This window comes from Homo sapiens, chromosome 19, assembly GCF_000001405.40.
Source record: "Homo sapiens chromosome 19, GRCh38.p14 Primary Assembly".
NCBI lineage: Eukaryota > Metazoa > Chordata > Mammalia > Primates > Hominidae > Homo > Homo sapiens.
Window position 1 is genome coordinate 14,552,877 of NC_000019.10, and position 21,914 is coordinate 14,574,790.

The following is a 21,914-nucleotide window of genomic DNA, read 5'->3' on the forward strand; positions in this document are numbered from 1 at the left end:
GTCTCAGCATAGTCCTAGGTACAGGGTGAGCATCTGATAGATGTCACGTCTGAATGAAACGGGCGAGATCAGCGTCGCTCTGGGTGGGCCAGTGCTCCTCGGAGGCCCTGAGGGCACAACCGCAGGGATGGGTGTAGGCTGTGGGTACCACTGAGAATGGGGGGCAGGCCCAGGGCTGAGACCCAGGTTCTCCAACTTCCCACTGTGTTTGTCTTGTGCCATATTCATCCTCTATGAATGGCTGTGGCTGCTCGCCCAAGCCAGGAGCTCGTGCGTCCGATGACCATCTTCCAAGGCTGGATTGCTACCTGCTCGCTCGGGGCTCTGCTGGATGGGAACAGCAGCTCCAGCTTCTCCGGGTCCCGGGCTACCGCTGCCTCTGCACCTGGCCCTGGCCTCGGATCCGAGAGCCCAGAGACATTGGCATTGAGACCCTGGCACCTCTCGTCTTGCCAGCACAGGTAGAAGACAGGAGCAGAGCGGTCCAGGGACCTGGGAGTGGGAGGTCAGCCACTCTCAGCCCTTCCTCCCCACCCTGGGTGACATTCTGCTTCCACTGTGGCGCCTCGGGGAGGCTGGTGCAGCCGCCCCCGGGTGCCACTGAGAAACGAGGTCATACACTGAGGCCACTGGGGAAGGTGGTATTTCTGGCCGAGCAGGTGTGGCCTGTGCAGGGTTCCTGGCAGCTGAGCCCTAGGTCTTCTCAGCCATCCTGGCATTAGCAGGTTGACTTGATATTTCTGGAAGTGGGAAGGAAAGGGAGCCGAGAGGGCTGAGCCGCTGAGCCGGAGTCCAGATGAATGTGCCGGAGTCTCTGCATTTGTGATGGGGGCGAGGTGATGGGGGCGAGGTGGCCGGCGTGGCTCTGGGCATGATCGGGCCAGGCCTCCGACCTCTATGCTGGGCATTGGCTGGACAGGGAGCTCAGGCGATGAGTGCAGCAGCGCTTGTGCCCGGCGCGGGGATGGTGAGTGCCTGGCTGGCCAGCTGCAGGACCTGTCAGGCCCTTTGTGTCTTTACCTGGGGCCCTGGTTGCACTGACCAGGGCTCGCACCCCCAGCCAGGCCTCTTGTGCCCCAGACTCGGGAGATGCTTCCTACCAGGAAGTGCAGTCCCCTGCGGGGTCCGAGAGAGCCTGCCGGAGCTTTGAGCTCAACAGGTGGGCTGTGCGGCACCACATCAGCTCTGCAAGGGGGCCCTGGAGGCCCATGTGTGGTGGGGTATGGCCTGGCTTTCAACATGCACGCGTGGTCTTCTGGGCTCTGGGATTTACTGCTTAGATCTTGGCCTCTTCATCTGTGAAACGGAGCTAATGGCTCCTGCTCCCTCCGGCTGCTGCAGGAGAGATGTCTGGGAAGCTGTGGCAGTTCCAGCCCCGGGCAGGGAACGTGAAATAACTGTTGGTCGCTGTTCTCACTCATCACCATTAGGCAGGTCACGTCCTAGGACACACAGAAGTTTCAGGTTCATAAGCCATGGGAGATGAGGCCGGCCCAGAATCCAAGCTTCCCGCTCTGGCCCGGGTCTGCCCCTCTTCTGGGGCTGAGAGGGCAGGCAGGTGCCTTGCTGGGTCCTGTGGTGTGGACTCTGCCGCCAGCAAGGCCATTGAACCTGCTTGTTTACAGCCGGGAGAGGACTGGGAAGCACCAGTCTTGGCTTGTTTGTGAAGCTGGGGAAGCCGAAGCTCCAGAGGCCTTCTGTGCATGGCTGTGTGTGCCAGGCCTTCAGGCTGCGCCTCCAGGGGATGAGCAGGAATTGCAGGCTCAGCTCTTCCAGCCTTGGCTCAGGTGGTGCCTGCTCCTCCCTCCTTCCCTGTACCTCTCATCCCCACACCCACTCCACTCTCAGGCCACACCCACTCTTCACCTCCACATCTGTCCAGAATTTCACTGCTTGTCTCTGCCTTGTGCTTTTTTTTTTTGAGATGGAGTTTCACTCTGTCACCAGGTTGGAGTGCAGTGGCCTGACCTCTGCTCACTGCAACCTCCGCCTCCTGGGTTCAATCGATTCTCTTGCCTCAGCCTCCTGAGTAGCTGGGACTACAGGCGTGTGCCACCATGCCCAGCTAATTTTTGTATTTTTAGTAGAGATGGGGTTTCACCATGTTAGCCTGGCTGGTCTTGATCTCTTGACCTTGTGATCTGCCCACGTCCGCCTCCCAGAGTGCTGGGATTACAGGCGTGAGCCACTGCGCCTGGCCTTGTTTTTTTTTTTTTGAGACAGGGTCTTGCTTTGTCCCCCAGGCAGGGGTGCCGTAGTGTAATCAATCATGGCTCACTGCAGCCTGGAACTCCTAGGCTTAAGCGATCCTTCTGTCACAGCCCCTGAGGAGTAGGTAGGACCATAGGTGCGAGTCACCACACCCAGCTAATTTTTTATTTTTGTTTTTTGAGATGGAGTCTTGCTCTGTGGCCCAGGCTGGAGTGCAGTGGTGTGATCTCGGCTCACTGCAACCTCTGCCTCCTGGGTTCAAGCGATTCTCCTGCCTCAGCCTCCTGAGTAGCTGGGATTACAGGTGCCCACTGCCATGCCCAGCAAATTTTTTTGTATTTTTATTTATTCTTTTTTTTTTTTTTTTTTTTTTTTTTAGACAGAGCCTCACTCTATTGCCCAGGCTGGAGTGCAGTGGTGCAATCTTGGCTCACCACAACCTCCATCTCCTGGGTTTAAGTGATTCTTGTGCCTCAGCCTCCCAAGTGGCTGGGATTACAGGTGTGTGCCACCACACTTGGCTAATTTTTGTGTTTTTACACGGGGTTTTACCATGTTGGCCAGGCTGGTCTCGAACTCCTGACCTCAGGTGATCTGCCCACCTCAGCCTCCCAAAGTGCTTGGATTACAGGTGTGAGTCACCATGCGTGGACACAGCTAATTTTTATAAATACTTTTTGTGGAGGCAGAGCCTTGCTATTTTGCCCAAGCTGGTCTTGAACTCCTGGGCTTAAGTGATCATCCTGTCTCAGCCTCCTAAAGTGCTGGGATTCCAGGCGTGAGCCACTGCGCCCAGCCCACTTTTCACCTCTCTATAGCTCCCTCTTTGCTCCCAGCTTCTGCCCTCACTCCTCCAGTCTGTTCCACCCAGCAGTGGCAAGCAGGTAAAGCTGGGGAAGCCAAGTCTTGAACCTGAGCCAAGTCTCATCCCTCCTCTGCTCAAGAACCCTCTATGGCTGCCACTTCACTCAGAGTAAAAGCTAACGTCCTCCCCGTGGCCCACAAAGCCGTGGCACAGACCGCCACATCACCTTTCTGCCCTCACCTCCTCCCACTCTCTCCCTGACTCACTCTGCTCAGGCCACACAGGACTCCTTCCTGCTCAGCCACGCTAGGTATGGTCCAGCCTCAGGGCCTTGGCACTTACTGTTCCCTCTGCCTGGACTGCACTGGTTCCCCCACTGTCTACTGGCCTTTGTTCACACGCCACTTTCTCAGAAAGGGCTTCTCTGACCACTCTCAAATGGCCATCCTCTTGGAGGTTGCAGTGAGCCGAGATCGCGCCACTGCATTCCAGCCTGGGCGACAGCGAGACTCTCTCAAAAAAAAAACAAAAACAAAAAAAACCACATTGTGACCTCCCCCACAACCTTCTAGTTTTGTTCACAACTCTTGGTGACAAAACATGCTATGGCTATCTGCCCCCACCCCCTGCTTGCCCAGCACGCACAGGCTAGAATTCAGGTCCCATGAACCCCAGAGGCTGGCTTGGTTTTTTTCACTGCCATATCCCAGGAACTGGAACAGTGCCTGGGGTATGGGAAGGAGGGAGTCAGGAATGAATGAATGGATAAATGAATGCAGGCTCCCTGAGCTCTCTTGGCTGGTGGCAGGGCCAGGGTTAAGGTCCCATTCTGCACCAGAGCTGTCTCCGTCCCTGACATCGGCTTTGGGACTGTTCCTGAGCCGGCTGCTGCGGGTGCCCTTCCAGCAGGCGGGAGTAAGTCTGTGCGGCCACAAGGGGGCAGTGGGGAGCGTCGCAGCCTCCGCCGCTTGCAGCCAGTCATCCCGGTGGTGACGGGTCAGCTCGGCCTCTGCACCGAAAGTATCTCGCTATTGTTAGGGTTTGGGTTCACTGTGACCAGCTGGGCGAGGCATCAGTGCACCAGCTCTCTGGCCCTGGCTTCCTGTGGATGGGCCCCTTCAAGAGCATGGTCAGCGTCCCAGGAGAAGGGGCCTGTGGATCCTGCCAGGGTTTGGCCCCCTTGTGCACCTGGCATGGCTGTTCTGCTAGTGTTGGTCTAATCTTATTTATTTATTTATTTATTTATTTATTTATTTATTTATTTTGAGACAGGGTCTTGCTGTGTCGCCCAGGCTGGAGTGCAATGGCATAAACTCAGCTCACTGCAACCTCCACCGTCCTGAGTTCAAGCAATTCTCCTGACTCAACCTCCTGAGTAGCTGGGATTACAGGCACACACCACCATGCCTGGCTAATTTTTGTATTTTTATTAGAGACGGGGTTTCACCATGTTGGGCAGGCTGGTCTCGAACTCCTGGCCTCAGGTGATCTGCCTGCTTCGGCCTCCCAAAGTGCTGGGATTACAGGTGTGAGCCATAGTGCCCCGCCTAATCATATTTATTCTTTTTTTAAATTTTGAGATGGAGTCTTGCTCTGTCTCCCAGGCTGGAGTGCAGTGGTGCGATATCAGCTCACTGCAACCTCCTCCTCCTGGGTTCAAGCAATTCTCCTGCCACAGCCTCCTGAGTAGCTGGGATTACAGGCATGCACCACCACGCCTGGCTAATTTTTGTATCTTTGGTAGAGACGGGGTTTCGCCATGTTGTCCAGGCTGGTCTTGAACTCCTGACCTCAGGTAACCCGCCCACCTTGGCCTCCCAAAGTGCTAGGATTACAGGCATGAGCCACCGTGCCCGGTCATCATATTTATTCTTTTTTTTTGAGATGGAGTCTTGCTCTGTCGCCCAGGCTGGAGTGCAGTGGCGCGATCTCGGTTCACTGCAAGCTCTGCCTCCCGGGTTCGCGCCATTCTCCTGCCTCAGCCTCCCGAGTAGCTGGGACTACAGGCACCCACCACCGCACCCGGCTAATTTTTTGTATTTTTAGTAGAGATGGGGTTTCACCGTGTTAGCCAGGATGGTCTCGATCTCCTGACCTCGTGATTCGCCCGCCTCGGCCTCCCAAAGTGCTGGCATTACAGGCGTGAGCCACCACGCCCGGCCTATATTTATCCTTAATAAGATTTATCCTAAACTGGGGATGATTACGGTAACCCTGTCAGATGGCAGCTGGGGACAGCCCACTTTGCCATGAGTAGATGGAAGTTCAGAGAGGTTGGGTAACTTGCCCAGGGCCACACAGCCAGGAAATGGGCAGGTCTGCTTCTCTGGGTTGTTCACCCACCAGGCGGGCGGGTTCCCAGGAGCTGTGACAAGTGCTTAGACAACGAGAGCCCCCCTTTTCACTCCTCCTGCCCCCATTAGTAATATCTTCATGACCACAAAGACAGTGAAGACGGGCTCTGTTGCTTGCGGCACTCCCCTCTGGGCTTGGGAGGCACAAACCTCGCCCCTGCTCCCTCTTGCAGGGTGCGCTTCACGCCGCACCGTGTGTCCTGGCTCTTGGCTCTGCCCTGACCTCGTGCTGCGACGAGTTGCTGTTGGCTGGGCCCCGGGAATCTTGGGCCTCCTGGTGAGAATTCCTCTCAGGCTAGTGGAACTGTCATCACAGAGCCACAGGCCGGCAGAGCCACCAGCCTGTGCCCCAGGCCAGAGTGCCTGCCTGTCTGCCCGTTCCTGCCCTCTCCCTGCCCGTCGTGCCTGAGGCTATGTGGTCTCACCCCTTGCCCGTGGCCAGTGCTGGGACCTCGCTGACACCAGTAGCCCCCCTCCCACAGGTATCCCTTCATCCACCCAGAGCATCTCAGCCCCTCCCAGCCCCTCCGAGTGGCTCCGTGGGCTTCCTCAGAAGGTCCTGTCTGTCCTCCCTGCCTCACCGCTTCTCCTGGAGATGGGGCCAGAGCCTGCCACCTCCCCGTCTGTGCTCAGGATCCCCTGCCTGGGGCTCTGTTCAGCAGCTGCCTGTACCCTCTGCAGCCCTGGGCTTCCCCTGGGAGCCCCTGCCCCCTGTTGGCCTCAGGCCTGGGCAGGCGTGTGTGTGTGTGGCAGGCACAGAGCAGAGATTGGGGTGGCAGTGGGGTGTGGGGCGCGGAGCCCTCGATGAGGTCTCACATTAGGCCCTCCCTCTGAGGGGTGGGGAACCTCTCCTGCTCCTCCCACCCGACTGTTTTTATTTTGATGGGTATGTGGGGCCTGTTTGTTACCCCTCACCCCTTTAAACAATAATTTATTGAGGTGAAATTCATGTAACATGAAACTAACCATTTAAAAGTGAACAGTGGCATTGAGTGCACGTGCATCATTGTGCAGCCTCCACCTCTGTCTCGTCCCAGAACATTTTCCTCACTCTGAAAGGAGACCGGGTACCCAGCAGCAGCCACTCCCCATTCCCCCCGCCCAGCCCCTGGCCCCTCCAATTTGCTTTTCTGTCTGTCTGCTCTGGGTATTTTGCATAGATATGGGACCTTTGTGTCTGGCTTGTTTCCTAGCGTAACTTATTTCTTTTACCCCACCTGGAATATCTTATTTAACTTTCTTACTTAGAAATAATTATAGGCCGGGCCAGGTGGCTCACGCCTATAATCCTAGCACTTTGGGAGGCCGAGGTGGTGGATTGCCTGAGCTCAGGAGTTCGAGACCAGCCTGGGCAACATGGTGAAACCCCATCTCTCCTAAAATACAAAAAATTAGCTGGATGTGGTGGTGTGTGCCTGTAATCCCAGCTACTCTGGAGGCTGAGGCAGGAGAATCGTTTGAACCTGGGGGGCGGAGGTTGCAGTGAGTCAAGATCGCACTGCTGCACTCCAACCTGGGCGACAGAGTGAGACTCTGTCTCAAAAAAAAAAAAAAATTATAGAGACACAGGGAATTGCAAGAATAGTATGGAGAGGTCTCCTGCTCCCCCCAGAGCCTTTCAGTCCTCTCTCTAGGAGGAGATGGCCGACGAGCTGGGGATTTGGGGCAGGAAATGGGAGACGGACGGCCGTCCCACTGAGGACTCATCCTGCCCAGGTGGCCCTAGCCTTGGGCATTTCTTGTCTGTAGGGGCCCCTAGGTGCTGCCTTGCAGCCCGGGCTTACCTCCTTGCAGGTTTGGGCGTCTCCTCTCCTTGGGCCTCAGGCTGGCCTGGGCACCACTGCTGCAGCTGTGAGCGTGGCCCCTCTCTCGCTACCCCCTCCTGCCGCAGCCCGGCGTCCTCTCCCAGCAGCTAGCCGGGACCCCGATGGCCGTACTCTCCCTCTTGGGCCCTGGTTTGGTGCCCAGGTTGGGGGGAGCAGGGTACGATTTCACCCCTCCCACTAGCAGCTGGCTGGACAGGGAGAGGGGCTGGTTGTATTTTAAGCTGTTGAGTGGTTCAGCAGGAACTCGGAGGCCTTCTCTCCCTGTGGACGCTAGGCTGCCTTCCTACAGGCCACACGGGCTTGGAAGCATGTGGGCACTGCCTGCCTGGGGCCCAGGAACTATTAATATACCTGCAGCCACAGGGCAGGCCCCGTGCCCGCCCAGGGCCCTGCTGTGCTAACCCTTTCCCGTGGATCCCGCCCCGTGTCCTCTGTCCCTATCCTACATATCCCCTTGGTGGGGCCCAACGTCCTGCGTGGTGTGACCGAGCTCTTTTTTTCTGGCCCCTCCATGTGCCAGCTCTTTGGCCTTGTTATCGCTGTGGCTTGGAGGAGTTCAGTAACCTTCCCCTAGAGGCCACAAGGCCAGGCAGTGCCTGGAGTTGACAGCAGGGACTCAGGAGGCCCCGTGGGCCAGGATTTCCTGGCTGCTGGGCCCATTCCCACCCTCCTGTCCAGGAAGTGGGGGCGAGTGTGTCATGGCTGGGGAAATAGGCCCCCATGCTGTGGTGACTGCCAGGCCAGCAGGGGAGTGGGGATCTGAACCAAACCCACGGGCAACAATGCCTCCTATCCCATGGGGTGCCTCCCATCTGTCAGGGGTCACCTAGTGTACCCCATGCATTGTCTCAGGGGACCGTCACAGTCCTGGGAGGTAGTCTGCTTCCTACCTGCCCCCTTCTGAGGCCTAGAGAGAGGTGACATGCCTGGGGTCCCCCAGGGACTACAAGGCAGGGCTGGTTACGGTTCCCGAGTGCAGGCCACCAAGCCCCCTTGTCTCCCGCTGTCGTTGGGAATGTGCAGGAGGGGTACCCAGCTTCTCTGGCTTGACCGTGGTGCCCTCATCTTCAGGATGGGCCCTAGCTGCCGTGGCCCGGTCTCCCTGGGCTCTGGGTGGGTGGGCCTGCCCTGGGATGGCCCCAGCCCAGAGGTTTGTTTCTGAGCATTGTGTCCTGCTCCTTTTCCTCAGGCAGCCTCTGGGGGCCCCCGCTGGGTTTCTGTGGGTAGGAAGGGTCCCCCAAGAATTGCTGGCTGGTGGCTGACTTGGGATCAGGCCTGCCTGCTTGCCACGACCCCTGTATAATAGGATTGCACTGACCCCTGCATAGGGTGGGTCAGATCCCCGGGGGCTGCCTCCCTCCAGCCCTGCCCCTCTGCACCCCCATCGTTCATCACTGGCCTGGGGGCTCAGGGAGGGCTGGGCCAGACTCCTACCTCAGGGGCTGGCACAGGCCTGGCTCTTGGACGCAGGAAGCGCCGGGCTTTAGTGGGGCGCAGGTCCTGGGTGAGGGTGCAGTGTTTGGGCTGACTCAGTGGAAAGCCTGCCCCACAGGTGGCTATAAGGTGAGAAGTGGGTGGGGAGGAAGGTTGGGGAGACCTCATCAGCCCAAGCTGGAGGCGGTTGCCTAAAACTTCCACACACCCCGATCCTTTCCACACTTCGAGAGAGGCTCTCTGCACCCATAACTCCAGAATCTGTCACCTCCCTGGTAACACAAATGCACAAGGAAAATAATCCAAAGTGTCTCTTACAGCTCAGAAGGGGAAATGGATGATCTGTCTCGCGGATTCTCAAAATAGCTGGGATTTCTCCAAGCCCAGTGAACTCCCTAGGCCTGAGCTGCGGGCTGGGGCCTGCACGGCCCGCTGGCCTCTCACTCTCCTCTAGCCACTGGCTCTGTGCAGGGCGGGGGCTGGGAGGTGTTGTCATGCCTGCCCCTGGGGCTTTCCCTGTGCTGGTGCCGTTGAGGGTTTTGAGGTGACCACTCAAAAGCTGCTTTCAGGGCAGCCTGGCTCCCCGGGGAGACTCCCAAGCCCCCCTCAGAGAAGGTCTGTGGCATGGCTCCTGGGGGGCGCAGTCTGGGGTGGTTTTATATTTAGCTGGGCTGTGGCTGTGGTTGCCACTCGGGTTACATCTGGCACAGAAGTCGGCAGTGCCAGGGCCGGCACGGGCTCCTTTCCAGCACCGCGGCAGAATTTGATCGCGCTTGCCCGGCCCAGGGCTGCTTCCCGTGGGGAGGTCGGTGGTGGGGGCTGACGGCCGGCAGCTGGGGCTGCTGGCCACCGTGGGCAGAGCCGAGTGGCAGGGCTGGTGGCAGGCGGCATGGACTTGAACTTGAGCTTGTTGGCCCGGGAGGCCACCCCAGGCCTCCTCCCTGGCCTCAATGGGCTCCCCAGGCCCACACCCCCAAAGGTGGCCAAGAAACCTAAAAAGGCTGTTCTCTTCTTCGAGGTGGAGATTCTGGACGCAAAGACAAGGGAGAAGCTGTGTTTCTTGGACAAGGTAGGACTGGGGCGTGGGCTGCACTGGGCCAAGGGCACTGGGCCCGGGACCCCAATCCTTATAGCCCAGGAGCTGTCCAGTGGGGCCCTTTGTGCCCCACCCCCTGCCCTATGGAGGGGTATGCCCTCACTTGGGGTAGGGTGGATAGCCATGTCCCCTGGGTGTGGCGGGGAAATGGAGGCACAGGAGTCTCAGTGGACCCTGCGGGGATTTTGGTCCTGGGAGGGCGGTGGAGGAGTGAGCCTTGCCCCTGCTGAGGCCGGGCCTGGGGGAAGGGGCTTGCGCTGTCCCTGGGGAGGACAGAGGGCCTTTGCTCCTGGGAGAGTCATGGGTGAGAAGTGGAGAGGAGGGGCAGAGAAGCAGGCTTGCCTTCCCATGCTTAATCCGCCACTAGCCGGGCTGGGGGCCTGCTGGCTGAGGGTAAAAGTGGAGCCCCAGACCCCTGCTGTCACTGCACTGGCAGGGCCCTCGGTGGTCCTTCCCTGACTGCAGGCAGAGGCCTGGACCCCAGCCCTTCCCCCTTCCCATAGCTACAGCCCAACCCCCAGCCTGCCATCCCCTTTAGTACCTCCCCATCCTGAGTCTGGGCTCCCCGCAGAGCTGACGTCCCTGCGCCTGTGCTTCCCCCAGGTGGAGCCCCACGCCACCATTGCGGAGATCAAGAACCTCTTCACTAAGACCCGTGAGTTCTAGTCCCGGCCACACTGCCCCTGCAACCCCTTTGACCAGGGACCTTAGGGTGGGAGGGATCCCATCCTGCACCCCTCTCCCAGGGGCCTGCAGAGATGCCCCAGTGTGGCCCAGGCTTCTGGGGCGTGACTGGGGCAGGCGCCTCCACGTGGCACTCCGCAGGAACGCCCTTGCTAGGCTCTGGGAAGGACAAGATCCTGCTTCTGCCCGCGCTCTTCTGGCTTGTGTCCTGAAACCGCACAAGCCTGAGGGTTTGCCCCCAGGTGGGAGGAGCTGTGGAGTCCTGGGGTCCTTGCACCCTGGGAACCCTGAGAAGCTGGCACAGTGGCTGGGCAGCGGACCGGCTGAGCCCTGCCAGGCTGTGGGCTGTAACTGCCCTGTTCTCCCCGCAGATCCGCAGTGGTACCCCGCCCGCCAGTCCCTCCGCCTGGACCCCAGTGAGTACAGCTGTCCACTCGGCCCGCCCCCTGGGCTCCTGGGTGGCAGTGGGAGAAGGCCCGGGTAGCCCCTGAGCCCTGGCCCGCCTCTCTGCAGAGGGCAAGTCCCTGAAGGATGAGGATGTTCTGCAGAAGCTGCCCGTGGGCACCACGGCCACACTGTACTTCCGGGACCTGGGGGCCCAGATCAGCTGGGTGACGGTGAGTCCTGACCCTACCCACGGCCTCTTTTCCCGTCAGCCACGTTGGGTGACTCATCTTGCCCCCCTCTACTCTCAGGTCTTCCTAACAGAGTACGCGGGGCCCCTTTTCATCTACCTGCTCTTCTACTTCCGAGTGCCCTTCATCTATGGCCACAAATATGACTTTACGTCCAGTCGGCATACAGTGGTGCAGTAAGTGGGGCAGGTGGGAGGAGGGTAGGGGAAGGCAGAAGACCTGCCGGACCAGCCCCAGCTGAGCCTGCTCCCCCCGACCAGCCTCGCCTGCATCTGTCACTCATTCCACTACATCAAGCGCCTGCTGGAGACGCTCTTCGTGCACCGCTTCTCCCATGGCACTATGCCTTTGCGCAACATCTTCAAGGTGAGAGCCCGTCCCCGCCTCACCCCTAAGCCCCGCCTTTCTGCCCCACCCCGCCCCGCCCCCACCGAGCCCCACCCCAAGGCCCTTCCTGTCTGCCACTACGCCCCAGCAGAGCCCTACCCCTAGGCCCCGCCTAACCTCCCCAGCCCCGCCCTCGCAGAGCCTCTAGACCCCGCCCGTCCTCCCCAGCCCCGCCCCCGTCGGGCCCCTAGGCCTGCCTATCCACCCTAGTCCCACCCCTAGGCACCGCCTATCCCCCCAGCCCCGCCCCTGCAGAGCCCCGCCCCAGTTTCACCCCTAGGCCCCTCCTGTCCACCACGCCCTCACAGAGCCCTGCCCTAGCCTCACCCCTTGGCCCCGCCTATCCTCCCCAGCCCCGCCCCAAGGCCCCTCCTGTCCTTTCCCACCATGCTCCCAGGCCCCTCGGGATGAGACATGGGCAGCATCTGCCTTGTCCGGTGCTGGCCCAAGTCCCATCCCTGCCCTGCTCCCTTTCAGAACTGCACCTACTACTGGGGCTTCGCCGCGTGGATGGCCTATTACATCAATCACCCTCTCTACACTCCCCCTAGTAAGTGGCCTCAGACCATCCTTCCCTCCCCCACGGTCCCCACCCAGCGGGTCCTCCCCTCATGGGCTCCCCTCCCTGCTTCCTCTTCAGCCTACGGAGCTCAGCAGGTGAAACTGGCGCTCGCCATCTTTGTGGTAAGGAGGCTGGGTGTGGGGACGGGGTCGGGGGAGTCTGGGCGGCCCTAGGCTGATCCTGCTTCTCTGACAGATCTGCCAGCTCGGCAACTTCTCCATCCACATGGCCCTGCGGGACCTGCGGCCCGCTGGTGAGTGCCTGCTGGGGGCAGGGGGACAGCTGGGCTGGGTGAGGGGGTCTGACTTTCTCCTTCTGTCCTGCCTGCCAGGGTCCAAGACGCGGAAGATCCCATACCCCACCAAGAACCCCTTCACGTGGCTCTTCCTGCTGGTGTCCTGCCCCAACTACACCTACGAGGTGAGGGGCTGCCTTACCCCTCTCTGCCCTGGGACTTGGGGTCCCATGTGGAGGGACCAGCCCCTAGGATGGGGCGCCTGGCTGGGCAGCTGCTTTTGCCGCCTGCACTGCGAGCATTGGGAGGTGGAGACCGCGGCCTCTCTGCTGTGGTGGCGGGGAGGCGTGTGCCGCTGGGCTTCCGCCGTATACAGCCCCGCCTCCGCTGGAATTGGGTTCCCATCCCTGACTCAGAAAGCAGGGGCGGCGGGAGGTGGCTGGCTGAGTCCAGGACAGCCACATACACGGGTTGCGAGGCTGCCCACGCTCACTCTCCGCCCCTGCCCACAGGTGGGGTCCTGGATCGGTTTCGCCATCATGACGCAGTGTCTCCCAGGTGAGCCTGCCGCCCTCCCTCGGCGGGGCCCTGCCCCTCCGGGCCGGCAGCCCCTCCCTGACGCCCGTTCTTTCCTGCAGTGGCCCTGTTCTCCCTGGTGGGCTTCACCCAGATGACCATCTGGGCCAAGGGCAAGCACCGCAGCTACCTGAAGGAGTTCCGGGACTACCCGCCCCTGCGCATGCCCATCATCCCCTTCCTGCTCTGAGCGCTCACCCCTGCTGAGGCTCAGCCCCTCAACCCGGTGGCATTCTGGGGGAGGAGTGGGGCCCACAGCTCTCCAGCACCCGGAATAAAGCCCGCCTGCCCCAGTCGGACTCGGGCTCTGTGTGTTTCTTTCCGGGGTTGGGGACCACCACACTGCCCTTCACTCTCTCCCCACTCTCGCGTCGGAGCAGTAAGAGGGGACTCTGGTTGAGGGGCCTGAAGGCTTTTATTTGACTGGTCCATAGGGTGGGGGGTGCACCCCCTACAGGGCCACCTTGGGGTCCACTTCCCCGGGTCCCTGGCCTTTGGCCAACTCTGCCGCCTTCTTCTCCCGCCGCTTCTTCCGCTGGAGCAGCCTCCGCTCCCGCTCAAACTCCTTCATGCGCATCACATAGCTGGGGGAAAAGCACGAGAGGGGCTGTCAGGGTCCCTGGCCAGGACACGCCCCCCAAGCCCTGGGAAGCGGAGGGGCCGTCCCAGAGCACTGTGGGGGAGGCCTCTGAAGAAGACATGTCCGAGTGCCTGTGGCTTGGGTCTGGGGTCTGCCCACGCAGGTGGCAGGGCTTCCCACTGGAACCTGGGCTTGGCCACTCCCCTAGGTGGCTTCAGCCACCTGCCCTGTCCCCATCAAACAGGCCCCTAGAGAGCCCTCTCTGGGACTAAGGTGGGGCCCGGCTAGAAACCTCAGTGGCAGTTCAGGTCCCTGGCCTCTGGAGCCACATCCTGCCAGGGGCCAGGCCTGGGTGGGGTGCAGGCTGTGGGTGTTGGCGGGGGTGGGAGGGGGGCTTGGGCGGGCTGGGCATGTGGGGGGCTTGGGTGGGCCAGGGGTGTGGAAGGCTGGGGGTATGGGGTGTTGCGGGCCGGGGTGTTGGGGGCTGGTGTGGGGGTGCTCACTCGCGGTGCTCGCAGTAGTCCCAGTCGTGCCGCTCCTGCTTGCAGGCCAGGAAGTTGGGGAAGCTGTCACGCTTGCACTTGAGCAGCCGGATGAGGTGGTGGGCGCAGTAGTCCCGCAGCTGGAGCCTCAGCTGCGCGTCCATCATCTCCTGCTGTGTGGCCACCATCTCTGCAGGGAGTGGGCGGGGCTCAACCAGGCTGGAGGCTCCCCACCCCAATTCCGGGGATCCCCAGGGGACCGAGGCACACGGCTTCAGGAAGGCACGGCTTGGGGTGTCCCCCATTCACATCCAGATGGCAGTGGATGGCAGATGCCTTTGACGGATGCACTGTCCTGAAGGGGCCTCCTTTTCTAATTTGCACAAAGGCAACTCCAGACACCAAGGGCCAGACAGGAGAAGGTGGCTCCCCATCACCCTGAGGCACCTCAACATCCCGTGCCGGATCCTTGCCTCCCCTCCCACAGGGATGCCCGTCCCCAGCTCTCTACAGCCCCGCTCTCCAGAGTCCGAGTTCAGAATCCACCTTCTCCCAGAGTAACCCTCAGCCCCTCCACCTGCACCTGGGGCTCCAGGCAGCACTCCCAGCCTTTCTTGTCTGCAACCCACCCAAGGCCCAGCTCTGCACTGGCCGGCGGCGTGGCCTCTCTCTCAGCCTCAGAACTGACCATCCGGTCATGGAAGTTACCCGAGCATCCACTGAGCTAACAGTACCTGTAAGGTACTTAGGCGTGGGCTCAGAAGACAGCTGGACTAGTATCTGGGTCCCGGTGCCCCACTCACCTAGCAAACCTGACTCCGGACAAATCAACCTTCAGGAGGGGGCCGATGGGAGCATGAGGAATCCTGGACACTCACCCCGGAGCCTGTGCCTGGCGATCCTGCACTCGTTCCCCACCGCCTCCCTCAGACCCAGCCTCCCTAGCCCTCCTGACGTCCACCACATCTTTCTCGGTCCCAGCTCCTTCCCATCTGCGCAAGTGAGACGAGATATATTCACATCTCAATGGCAGTCGTCCCCTGCTGGCTTCTCTCCCCTTTGCTTCCCAGCTGCGATTCTCTCATCCCACTGAGGCCCAGGTCCTCCTCTCCTGCCCCTTGTCCCATTCCCTGGCTTCTGCCCTACCCCCTCACTGCCCAGACACGGGCTCTCACAGGGCCACCCAACAGCCCAGGACCCCAGCCTCCCGCTTCCTTCTTTCCTGTGGCTCCTCCCACATCCCTCCTCCCCAGGTTTCCTCCCATCTCTATGGCTGCCTTACCTTACGCTTTGTTCTGGGAGCCTTTTTCTTTTCTTTTGAGATGGAGTCTCACTCTGTCACCCAGGCTGGAGGGCAGTGGCAAGATCTCAGCTCACTGCAACCCCTGTCTCCCAGGTTCAAGCAATTCTCCTGCCTCAGCTTCCTGAGTAGCTGGAACTACAGGCGCCTGCCACCATGCCCGACTAATTTTTGTATTTTTAGTAGAGATGGGGTTTCGCCATGTTAGTCAGGCTGGTCTTGAACTCCTGACCTCAGGTGATCCACCCACCTTGGCCTCCCAAAGTGCTGGGATTACAGGTGTGAGCCACTGTGCCCGGCCTGAGAGCCTTTTTCTCTGCTGCCGCCCCGTATGTAGATGAGCCCGATGTGGTCCCTCCACCCCACACCTCGCTTGAGCCCCAGGCCTGGGTATCACCTGCAGCCCCTGGCTGTTCCCTATCTGCACTTGGAGCTCCAGGTGGCAATCCTAGACTCCTCCCTCTTTTGTCTTGAACTTATAATCAGCTAGCAGCAAGGACTTTAGACTGCCTACTGTGTGCTTAGTGGTGGGGATACAGCAGGCAACACAACACACAAGTGTCCCTGCCCTCAGAGGGAGACACAGAACAGACAGAAGACAGAGCACCACAGCGTGTCTGGCAGTGCTTAAGTATTAGGGAGACCAGCCTGGGGAGCACAGAAAGATCCCATGTCCAGAAAAAAATAAAATTATCTTTGCACGGTAGTGCACACGGAGTATCCAGAGCTACTCGGGAGGATCGCTTGAACCCAGGAGTTTGAGGCTGCAGTGGGTGATAACCACCCCACTGCACTCCAGCCTAAGCAACAGAGCGAGAGCCCATCTCTACAAACAAATAAATAAATATGGGCCAGGCGCGGTGGCTCACGCCTGTAAACCCAGCACTTTGGGAGGCCGAGGCAGGTGGATCACTTGAGGTCAGAAGTTCGAGATCAGCCTGGCCAACATGGTAAAACCCTGTCTCTACTAAAAATACAAAAATGAGTCAGGTGTGGTGGCACGCACCTGTAATCCCAGCTACTCGGGAGGCTGAGGCGGGAGAATCGCTTGAACCGGGAAGGCAGATGTTGCAGTGAGCAAAGTGACTGGCTGAAAGGGGGTGGAAAGGAGGAAAGAGAGGGCAGGGGACAGTGATCTAGGAGGGAGGGAGAGAGTGAAGGATCCGGGAGGTAAGAGAAAGGCCAGGCACCATAAAGAGTCCACTGGAGTACCAATCGGGAGACCGGTCAGCAGGGACTGCAGGAATGCGCCACCACACCCAGCTAATTAAAAAATAAAAATAAAAAATTGTAGAGACAGGGCCTTGCTATGTTGCCCAGGCTGTTCTTGAACTTCTGGCCTTGAGCAATCCTCCTGCCTTTGCCTCCCAAACCGTTGGGATTACAGGCATGAGCCATTTTGCCTGGCTTAGAGCTGTTTTTTTCTTATCTCCCCGCCCCCCATTATGTTCAGTTGCACGGGGATAGGCACCAAGGAAGGGAAAGAGGTGAGTTTATCCAGAGTAAGCAAGAGAGAAGGGCAGCAGGTTGCTAGCGTTTGCAAAGCTGATCTTGGGGAAAGCAAGGTATGTGAGGCAGTGGGAGGAAGGTGGACGGACCAATGAACTGCAGGTTCAGCTGGGGCGGAAGGACTACCCGGAGTGTGGACACTGGAGTGATTATACCATCTCCCAACTTTCTCTCAAATCCAGGCTGCTTAGAGGTCTCTGTCTCAAGCTTGTCGCCCACTCAGTAGACAGTGTGACCTTTTGACCAACCAAAACTGATTGTGTCCCTCCTCTGCTTAGAAGCTTGGCTCTGCCACCTCTCTTTGGTCAACCCCTACTCATGCCCCTTCACATCTTTGTTTTGTTTTGTTTTGTTTTTTCAGACAGTCTCGCTCTGTCACCCAGGCTGGAGTGTGGTGGCCTGACCTTGGTTCACTGCAACCTCTGCCTCCTGGGTTCCAGCCAATTCTCCTGCCTCAGCCTCCCAGACAGCTGGGATTACAGGCATGCGCCACCACACCTGGCTAATTTTTGTATTTTTAGTAGAGTAGAGACGGGGTTTCACCATGTTGGCCAGGCTGGTCTCAAACTCCTGACCTCAGGTGATCCACCGGCCTTGGCCTCCCAAAGTGCTGGGATTACAGGCATAAGCCACCGTGCCCGGCTTAATTTTTGTATTTTGTTTTTGAGATGGAGTCTTGCTCTGTCGCCCAGGCTGGAGTGCAGTGGTGTGATCTCGGCTCACTATAACCTCTGCCTCCTGGGTTCAAGCGATTCTCCTGCCTCAGCCTCCTGAGTAGCTGGGACTACAGGTGTGCACCACCACGCCCCTGGCTAATTTTTGTATTTTTAGTAGAGACAGGGTTTCACCACATTGGCCAGGATGGTCTCAATCCCCTGACCTCGTGATCTGCCCGCCTCGGCCTCCCAAAGTGCTGGGATTATGGGTGTGAGACACCATGCCCGGCCTCAATTTTTATATTTTTAGTAGAGATGGTGTTTCACCATGTTGGCCAGGCTGGTCTCAAACTCCTGACCCCAGGTGATCTGCCCGCCTTAGCCTCCCAAAGTGCTGGGATTACAGGCATGAGCCACCACGACCGGCCACCCTTCACGTCTTTGTTTCCAGCCACTGCCTCTTGGAAGCCTGCTTTGACACCCCCAGCTCTGCCTGATTCCACAATCTTTCCCACTGTGCTGAGTTCTCTGGAGACAGTGCCTGCATCCCTCCAGTTCCCTGCTGTATCCGCGGTGCCTAATGTGGGACGTGGCCCAGAGCTGGTGCTCGGTATGCCTGTGATATTACTACATTAAAAGCAAAAACAAACACACGAACCAAAAAACCATCCTGGGCGTAGTGGCTCACATCTTCAATCCCAGCACTTTGGGAGGCTGGGCAGAAGGATCGTTTGAGCCCAGGAGTTTGAGACCAGCCTGGGCAACACAGCAAGACCCCCAACTCTACAAAAAATAAAAAATCAGTCTGGCATCCTGGGGCGCTCCTGTAGTCCCAGCTACTCGGGAGGCTGAGGCGGGAGGATCATTTGAGCCCAGGAGGTCGAGGATGCAATGAGCTGTGATTGTGCCACTACACTCAGCCTGGGCAACAGAGCAAGATCCCGTCTCAAAGCAAAACAAAGCACTTTGCAGGACAGTATTTGCAGCTCGAATCTTCCTTATTTCCTTGTGCATACCCCACAATTGCAGTGACATCAGGAAGGGGGTACAATGAACGTGTCCCTGCCCTCCCATGACTCCCCACGTCCCCCAAGACTTGGCCCGAGGCCGGGCGTGGTGACTGACTTCTGCGATCCCAGCACTTGGGGAGGCCGAGGCGGGCGGATCACTTGAGGTCAGGAGTTCAAGAGCAGCCTGGCCAACAAGGAGAAACCCCGTCTCTACTAACAATACAAAAAAGTAGCTGGGCATGGTGGTACACATCTGTAATCACAGCTACTCGCGAGGCTGAGGCAGGAGAATCGCTTGAACCCGGGAGGTGGAGGCTGCCAGTGAATCGAGACCAAGCCACTGCACTCCAGCCTGAAAGAAAAAGCGAGACTCCGTCTCAAAAGAAAAAAAAAAAAGACTCGACCCAGCTCTGCGCGTCGCATTCCTGCCCGAACCCCCACTTGTCGCCTCACTTTTGCTCCCTGGCTTTTGCTCAAGCCGTGCCCTTGGGCTGGAACGCCTCCACACTGAGGTGGGGTCATGCACGTCCTGTGGACTCCTAGTCTAGACCCAAACCCAGATACAACACCTGAGGTTAGAGCCCAGCCCTGGGGTGCCAGCCCTGGGGTGCCAGGTGTTCAGGCACCCGCGCCCCACGCCCTCTGGCTGCGCCTGCGCACTGGGCCTCACCGCGCTCCTTGCGTTCGGGGAAGCCGTAGTCTGGCGGGAAGGTTGGCATCTGCAGGGGGTCGGGCTCCACCGAGGCATCGCCCAGGTAGCGCCGGACCAGGTGGGCCCCCATGGCTGCAGTCGCTGCAGATCCCTGCAGCAGCCGAGGGTCACCTAGCTCCTACCCGGAACCACTGACCCCTCAGTCAGACACAGCTTCCGGGTCATTTAGGCAGCTGCGGAGATCATAGAGATGAAGGACTCCAGAGGATCGCTCCGGTCCGCCTGGCGTCACCTCGCGGACAGGCGGAGGCGGGACAGGTGCTGTGTCTCTTCGCAGGATATGGTTGGACCCGAGAGGGGACTTCCCTGAGCCTGGAAATCCATCTGGGCGGGGCAGAAGGGGACGGTGTGGGACTGAGGCCTCCCTCGACCCTATCTGGGGCTCTTCTGGTAGCCCGAGGCTAAAGCACATATTAAAATTATTTTTCATATCATTTTCCAAAAAGTTTTTTCTTTGAAAACATTCAAATTTCTCTTAAAAAAGGCACGATATCTATTATATCGTTAATGTATGTAATTTTGCATAAAGTCACTTTAAGAATTTTTTGTTTTTGGAGACACAGTACCTGTCGCCCAGACTGGAGTGTATTGGCGCGATCTCGGCTCACTGCAGCCTCCACCTCCTGGGCTCAAATTCTCTTGCCTCAGCCTCCTGAGTAGCTGGGATTACAGGCGCCCGCCACCACCCCCAGCTAATTTTTGTATTTTTAGTAGAGACGGGGTTTCGCCAGTTGGCCAGGCTGGTCTCGAACCCCTGACCTCAAGTGATTCCCCCGCCTCAGCCTCCCAAATTGCTGGGATTACGGGCATGAGCCACAGTGCCTGTCCAAGAAAGATTTTGATAAATTTAATTTAAATAAAAGTTATTCATAAATACAGTTATTATTATATTATTATTTTTTGAGATAGGGTCTCATTCTGTCGCCCAGGCTGGAGCACAGTGGCACAATCATAGCTCACTGCAACCTTGAACTCTTGGGCTCCAGGGATCCTCCCGCCTCAGCCTCTCAAAGTGTTGGGATTATGGGCGTAAGCCACTGTGCCTGGTCAAAAACAATTATTTAAAGCTGAAATTTCAAATAAATTATATATATATATGCAATCTTTATACAATTTTAAAATATATTAATATCTAATATTAATATCTAATATATATTTTTCCCCAGTCTGACAAAGCATGTATTAGGCATCTACTGTATGGTATGCTGGGTCCAGTGGTCAGACAGAAAGGCAGACGTGGTTCCTGTCTTTCAAGCTTACAGTCTAATGGAACAGAAAAACAGTCTAATGGAAAAAAAAAAATATGGGCCAGGGCAGTGGCTCACACCTGTAATCTCAGAGCTTTGGGAAGCTGAGATGGGAGGATCGCCTGAACTCAGGAGTTTGAGACCAGCCTGGGCAATATAGGGAGACTCTATCTCTACAAAAAAAAAAAAAAAAAAAAAAGCTGGGTGTGGTGGTGCACGCTTGTAGTCCCAGCTACTCGGGAGGCTGAGGCAGGAGGATAACTTGAGCCCAGGAGTTCCAGGCTGCAGTGAGCCGTGATCCCATCACTGCACTCCAGCCTAGGCAACAGAGTGAGACCCTGTCTATAAAAATTCCCAGGTGATGTGATGTTGCTGGTCTAGTGACCAGCTTTGGGAGAATTACTCAACTAGATCTTTATGTGTTGACATGGGGAAGTGGCTGCTGATATATTAAGTGAAAAAAGCAAGCTATTGAGAATAGACAACTGGCAATAGAGACTTTTCTTTTTCTTTCTTTTTTTTTTTTTTTTTTGAGACAGAGTTTCACTCTTGTTGCCCAGGCTGGAGTGCAGTGGTGTGATCTCGGCTCACCGCAACCTCCGCCTTCTGGTTTCAAGCGATTCTCCTGCCTTAGCCTCCTAAGTAGCTGGGATTACAGGTGGGTGCCATCACGGCCAGCTAATTTTTTTTTTTTTTTTTTTGAGACGGAGTCTTGCTCCGTTGCCCAGGCTGGAGTGCAGTGGCGCAATCTCGGCTCACTGCAAGCTCCGCCTCCCGGGTTCACGCCATTCTCCTGCCTCAGCCTGCCGAGTAGCTGGGACTACAAGCGCCCGCCACCACGCCCGGCTACTTTTTTTGTATTTTTAGTAGAGACGGGGTTTCACCGTGTTAGCCAGGATAGTCTTGATCTCCTGACCTTGTGATCCGCCCGCCTTGGCCTCCCAAATAATTTTTTTGTATTTTTAGTAGAGACGGAGTTTCATCATGTTGGCTAGGCTGGTCTTGAACTCCTGACCTCAGGTGATCCACCCGCTTCGGCCTCCCAAAGTGCAGGGATTACAGGCTTGAACCACTGCGTCCAGCTGAGACCTTCTTTCCAGGGCTACCTGTGTGACCTGTCCCTATCTCCAGGCCACCACATTAATCTGTGATTCTTGTGCCCTTCTAGACTCAAGGGGGCAGCATTCACATTGTGATCTCTATGAATGGTGCTTCTGGAGTTGTGCCGTGCACAGCCTGCACAGCTGCATCCAGTAACCCTGACGTGTTCTGGGCGTGTCTCCTTAATCTTCCTTTCTCTGTGCTTCAGCTGCTCACCCAGAGGTCAGAGCTCAAAGGGAGTCCAGAGAGGCAAATTACAGTACTAGCTCACTTTCCCTGTGTGACCCCCAGAAGTGACTTCATTTCTCGCAGACTGAGTTTACTCATCTGTAAGATGAGGTTTGTAATACCTATCTCATAATGTTCCCAGCCAGCGAGGGCTCCCCTCCTCCTGATGGATTCCACCCCTTTCCTGGCTTTATTTTTTTATTTTTTCAAGACAGGGTCTTGCTCTATTACCCAGGCTGGAGTGCAGTGTCATGATCTCGGCTCACTGCAGCCTCTGCCTCCTG

The 21,914-nt window shown here is 57.8% G+C and overlaps 3 protein-coding genes across 10 annotated transcripts in view, besides 7 other annotated features; 1 reads left to right on the top strand and 2 right to left on the bottom strand.

Moving 5' to 3' along the window:
* Nucleotides 1-7,515, bottom strand: part of DNAJB1 (DnaJ heat shock protein family (Hsp40) member B1) — a 45,623-nt gene extending 38,108 nt beyond the window's left edge. The window contains exon 1 of the mRNA XM_047438745.1: nucleotides 7,155-7,515. The gene's annotated coding sequence lies outside the window, so the exon portion shown is untranslated. The remainder of the gene's footprint in view (nucleotides 1-7,154) is intronic.
* Nucleotides 1-13,104, top strand: part of TECR (trans-2,3-enoyl-CoA reductase) — a 38,255-nt gene extending 25,151 nt beyond the window's left edge. For 3 of the 7 annotated variants that reach the window (NR_038103.2, XM_047439737.1, XM_006722945.3), the window contains 12 exons: nucleotides 9,649-9,699; nucleotides 10,298-10,381; nucleotides 10,782-10,826; nucleotides 10,924-11,027; nucleotides 11,106-11,221; nucleotides 11,306-11,411; nucleotides 11,910-11,982; nucleotides 12,073-12,116; nucleotides 12,190-12,247; nucleotides 12,326-12,414; nucleotides 12,742-12,787; nucleotides 12,868-13,104. Coding sequence is in view for 5 of the 7 variants with exons in the window: in XM_006722945.3 (XP_006723008.1) it covers nucleotides 9,649-9,699; nucleotides 10,298-10,381; nucleotides 10,782-10,826; nucleotides 10,924-11,027; nucleotides 11,106-11,221; nucleotides 11,306-11,411; nucleotides 11,910-11,982; nucleotides 12,073-12,116; nucleotides 12,190-12,247; nucleotides 12,326-12,414; nucleotides 12,742-12,787; nucleotides 12,868-12,995 (944 nt within the window). In the remaining 2 variants the exon portion in view is untranslated. Of the gene's footprint in view, nucleotides 1-9,648; nucleotides 9,700-10,264; nucleotides 10,382-10,781; nucleotides 10,827-10,923; nucleotides 11,028-11,105; nucleotides 11,222-11,305; nucleotides 11,412-11,909; nucleotides 11,983-12,072; nucleotides 12,117-12,189; nucleotides 12,248-12,325; nucleotides 12,415-12,741; nucleotides 12,788-12,867 lie in introns of all 7 variants that reach the window. The other 4 variants (XM_011528442.3, NM_001321170.1, NM_138501.6 and 1 more) reach the window with 2 other exon arrangements.
* Nucleotides 2,758-3,639: an enhancer, noted in NCBI's record as "H3K4me1 hESC enhancer chr19:14666446-14667327 (GRCh37/hg19 assembly coordinates)". NCBI's record gives its function as "activates a minimal SCP1, AML or CMV promoter by ChIP-STARR-seq in primed H9 embryonic stem cells {active_cell/tissue: H9 hESC(primed)}" and the evidence as "EXISTENCE:reporter gene assay evidence [ECO:0000049][PMID:30033119]".
* Nucleotides 3,640-4,520: an enhancer, noted in NCBI's record as "H3K4me1 hESC enhancer chr19:14667328-14668208 (GRCh37/hg19 assembly coordinates)". NCBI's record gives its function as "activates a minimal SCP1, AML or CMV promoter by ChIP-STARR-seq in naive and primed H9 embryonic stem cells {active_cell/tissue: H9 hESC(naive and primed)}" and the evidence as "EXISTENCE:reporter gene assay evidence [ECO:0000049][PMID:30033119]".
* Nucleotides 3,886-3,985: a silencer, noted in NCBI's record as "silent region_10259". NCBI's record gives its function as "represses an Ori minimal core promoter by ATAC-STARR-seq in GM12878 lymphoblastoid cells {active_cell/tissue: GM12878}" and the evidence as "EXISTENCE:reporter gene assay evidence [ECO:0000049][PMID:35858748]".
* Nucleotides 9,967-10,774: an enhancer, noted in NCBI's record as "H3K27ac-H3K4me1 hESC enhancer chr19:14673655-14674462 (GRCh37/hg19 assembly coordinates)". NCBI's record gives its function as "activates a minimal SCP1, AML or CMV promoter by ChIP-STARR-seq in naive H9 embryonic stem cells {active_cell/tissue: H9 hESC(naive)}" and the evidence as "EXISTENCE:reporter gene assay evidence [ECO:0000049][PMID:30033119]".
* Nucleotides 11,664-11,813: a silencer, noted in NCBI's record as "silent region_10260". NCBI's record gives its function as "represses an Ori minimal core promoter by ATAC-STARR-seq in GM12878 lymphoblastoid cells {active_cell/tissue: GM12878}" and the evidence as "EXISTENCE:reporter gene assay evidence [ECO:0000049][PMID:35858748]".
* Nucleotides 12,391-13,197: an enhancer, noted in NCBI's record as "H3K27ac-H3K4me1 hESC enhancer chr19:14676079-14676885 (GRCh37/hg19 assembly coordinates)". NCBI's record gives its function as "activates a minimal SCP1, AML or CMV promoter by ChIP-STARR-seq in naive H9 embryonic stem cells {active_cell/tissue: H9 hESC(naive)}" and the evidence as "EXISTENCE:reporter gene assay evidence [ECO:0000049][PMID:30033119]".
* On the bottom strand, nucleotides 13,202-19,190 carry NDUFB7 (NADH:ubiquinone oxidoreductase subunit B7). 2 transcript variants are annotated; one of them, NM_004146.6, is made up of 3 exons: nucleotides 19,013-19,190; nucleotides 13,889-14,057; nucleotides 13,202-13,389 (listed from the first exon to the last, which is right to left on the bottom strand). In NM_004146.6, the coding sequence occupies exons 1-3, from the start codon at nucleotides 19,122-19,124 to the stop codon at nucleotides 13,257-13,259; spliced, it is 414 nt and encodes a 137-aa protein (NP_004137.2). In that variant the 5' UTR covers nucleotides 19,125-19,190; the 3' UTR covers nucleotides 13,202-13,256. The 2 variants fall into 2 exon arrangements, with proteins under 2 accessions (NP_004137.2, XP_011526341.1); XM_011528039.4 differs by lacking the exon at nucleotides 19,013-19,190 and adding an exon at nucleotides 15,150-15,225.
* Nucleotides 19,122-19,411: an enhancer, noted in NCBI's record as "active region_14173". NCBI's record gives its function as "activates an Ori minimal core promoter by ATAC-STARR-seq in GM12878 lymphoblastoid cells {active_cell/tissue: GM12878}" and the evidence as "EXISTENCE:reporter gene assay evidence [ECO:0000049][PMID:35858748]".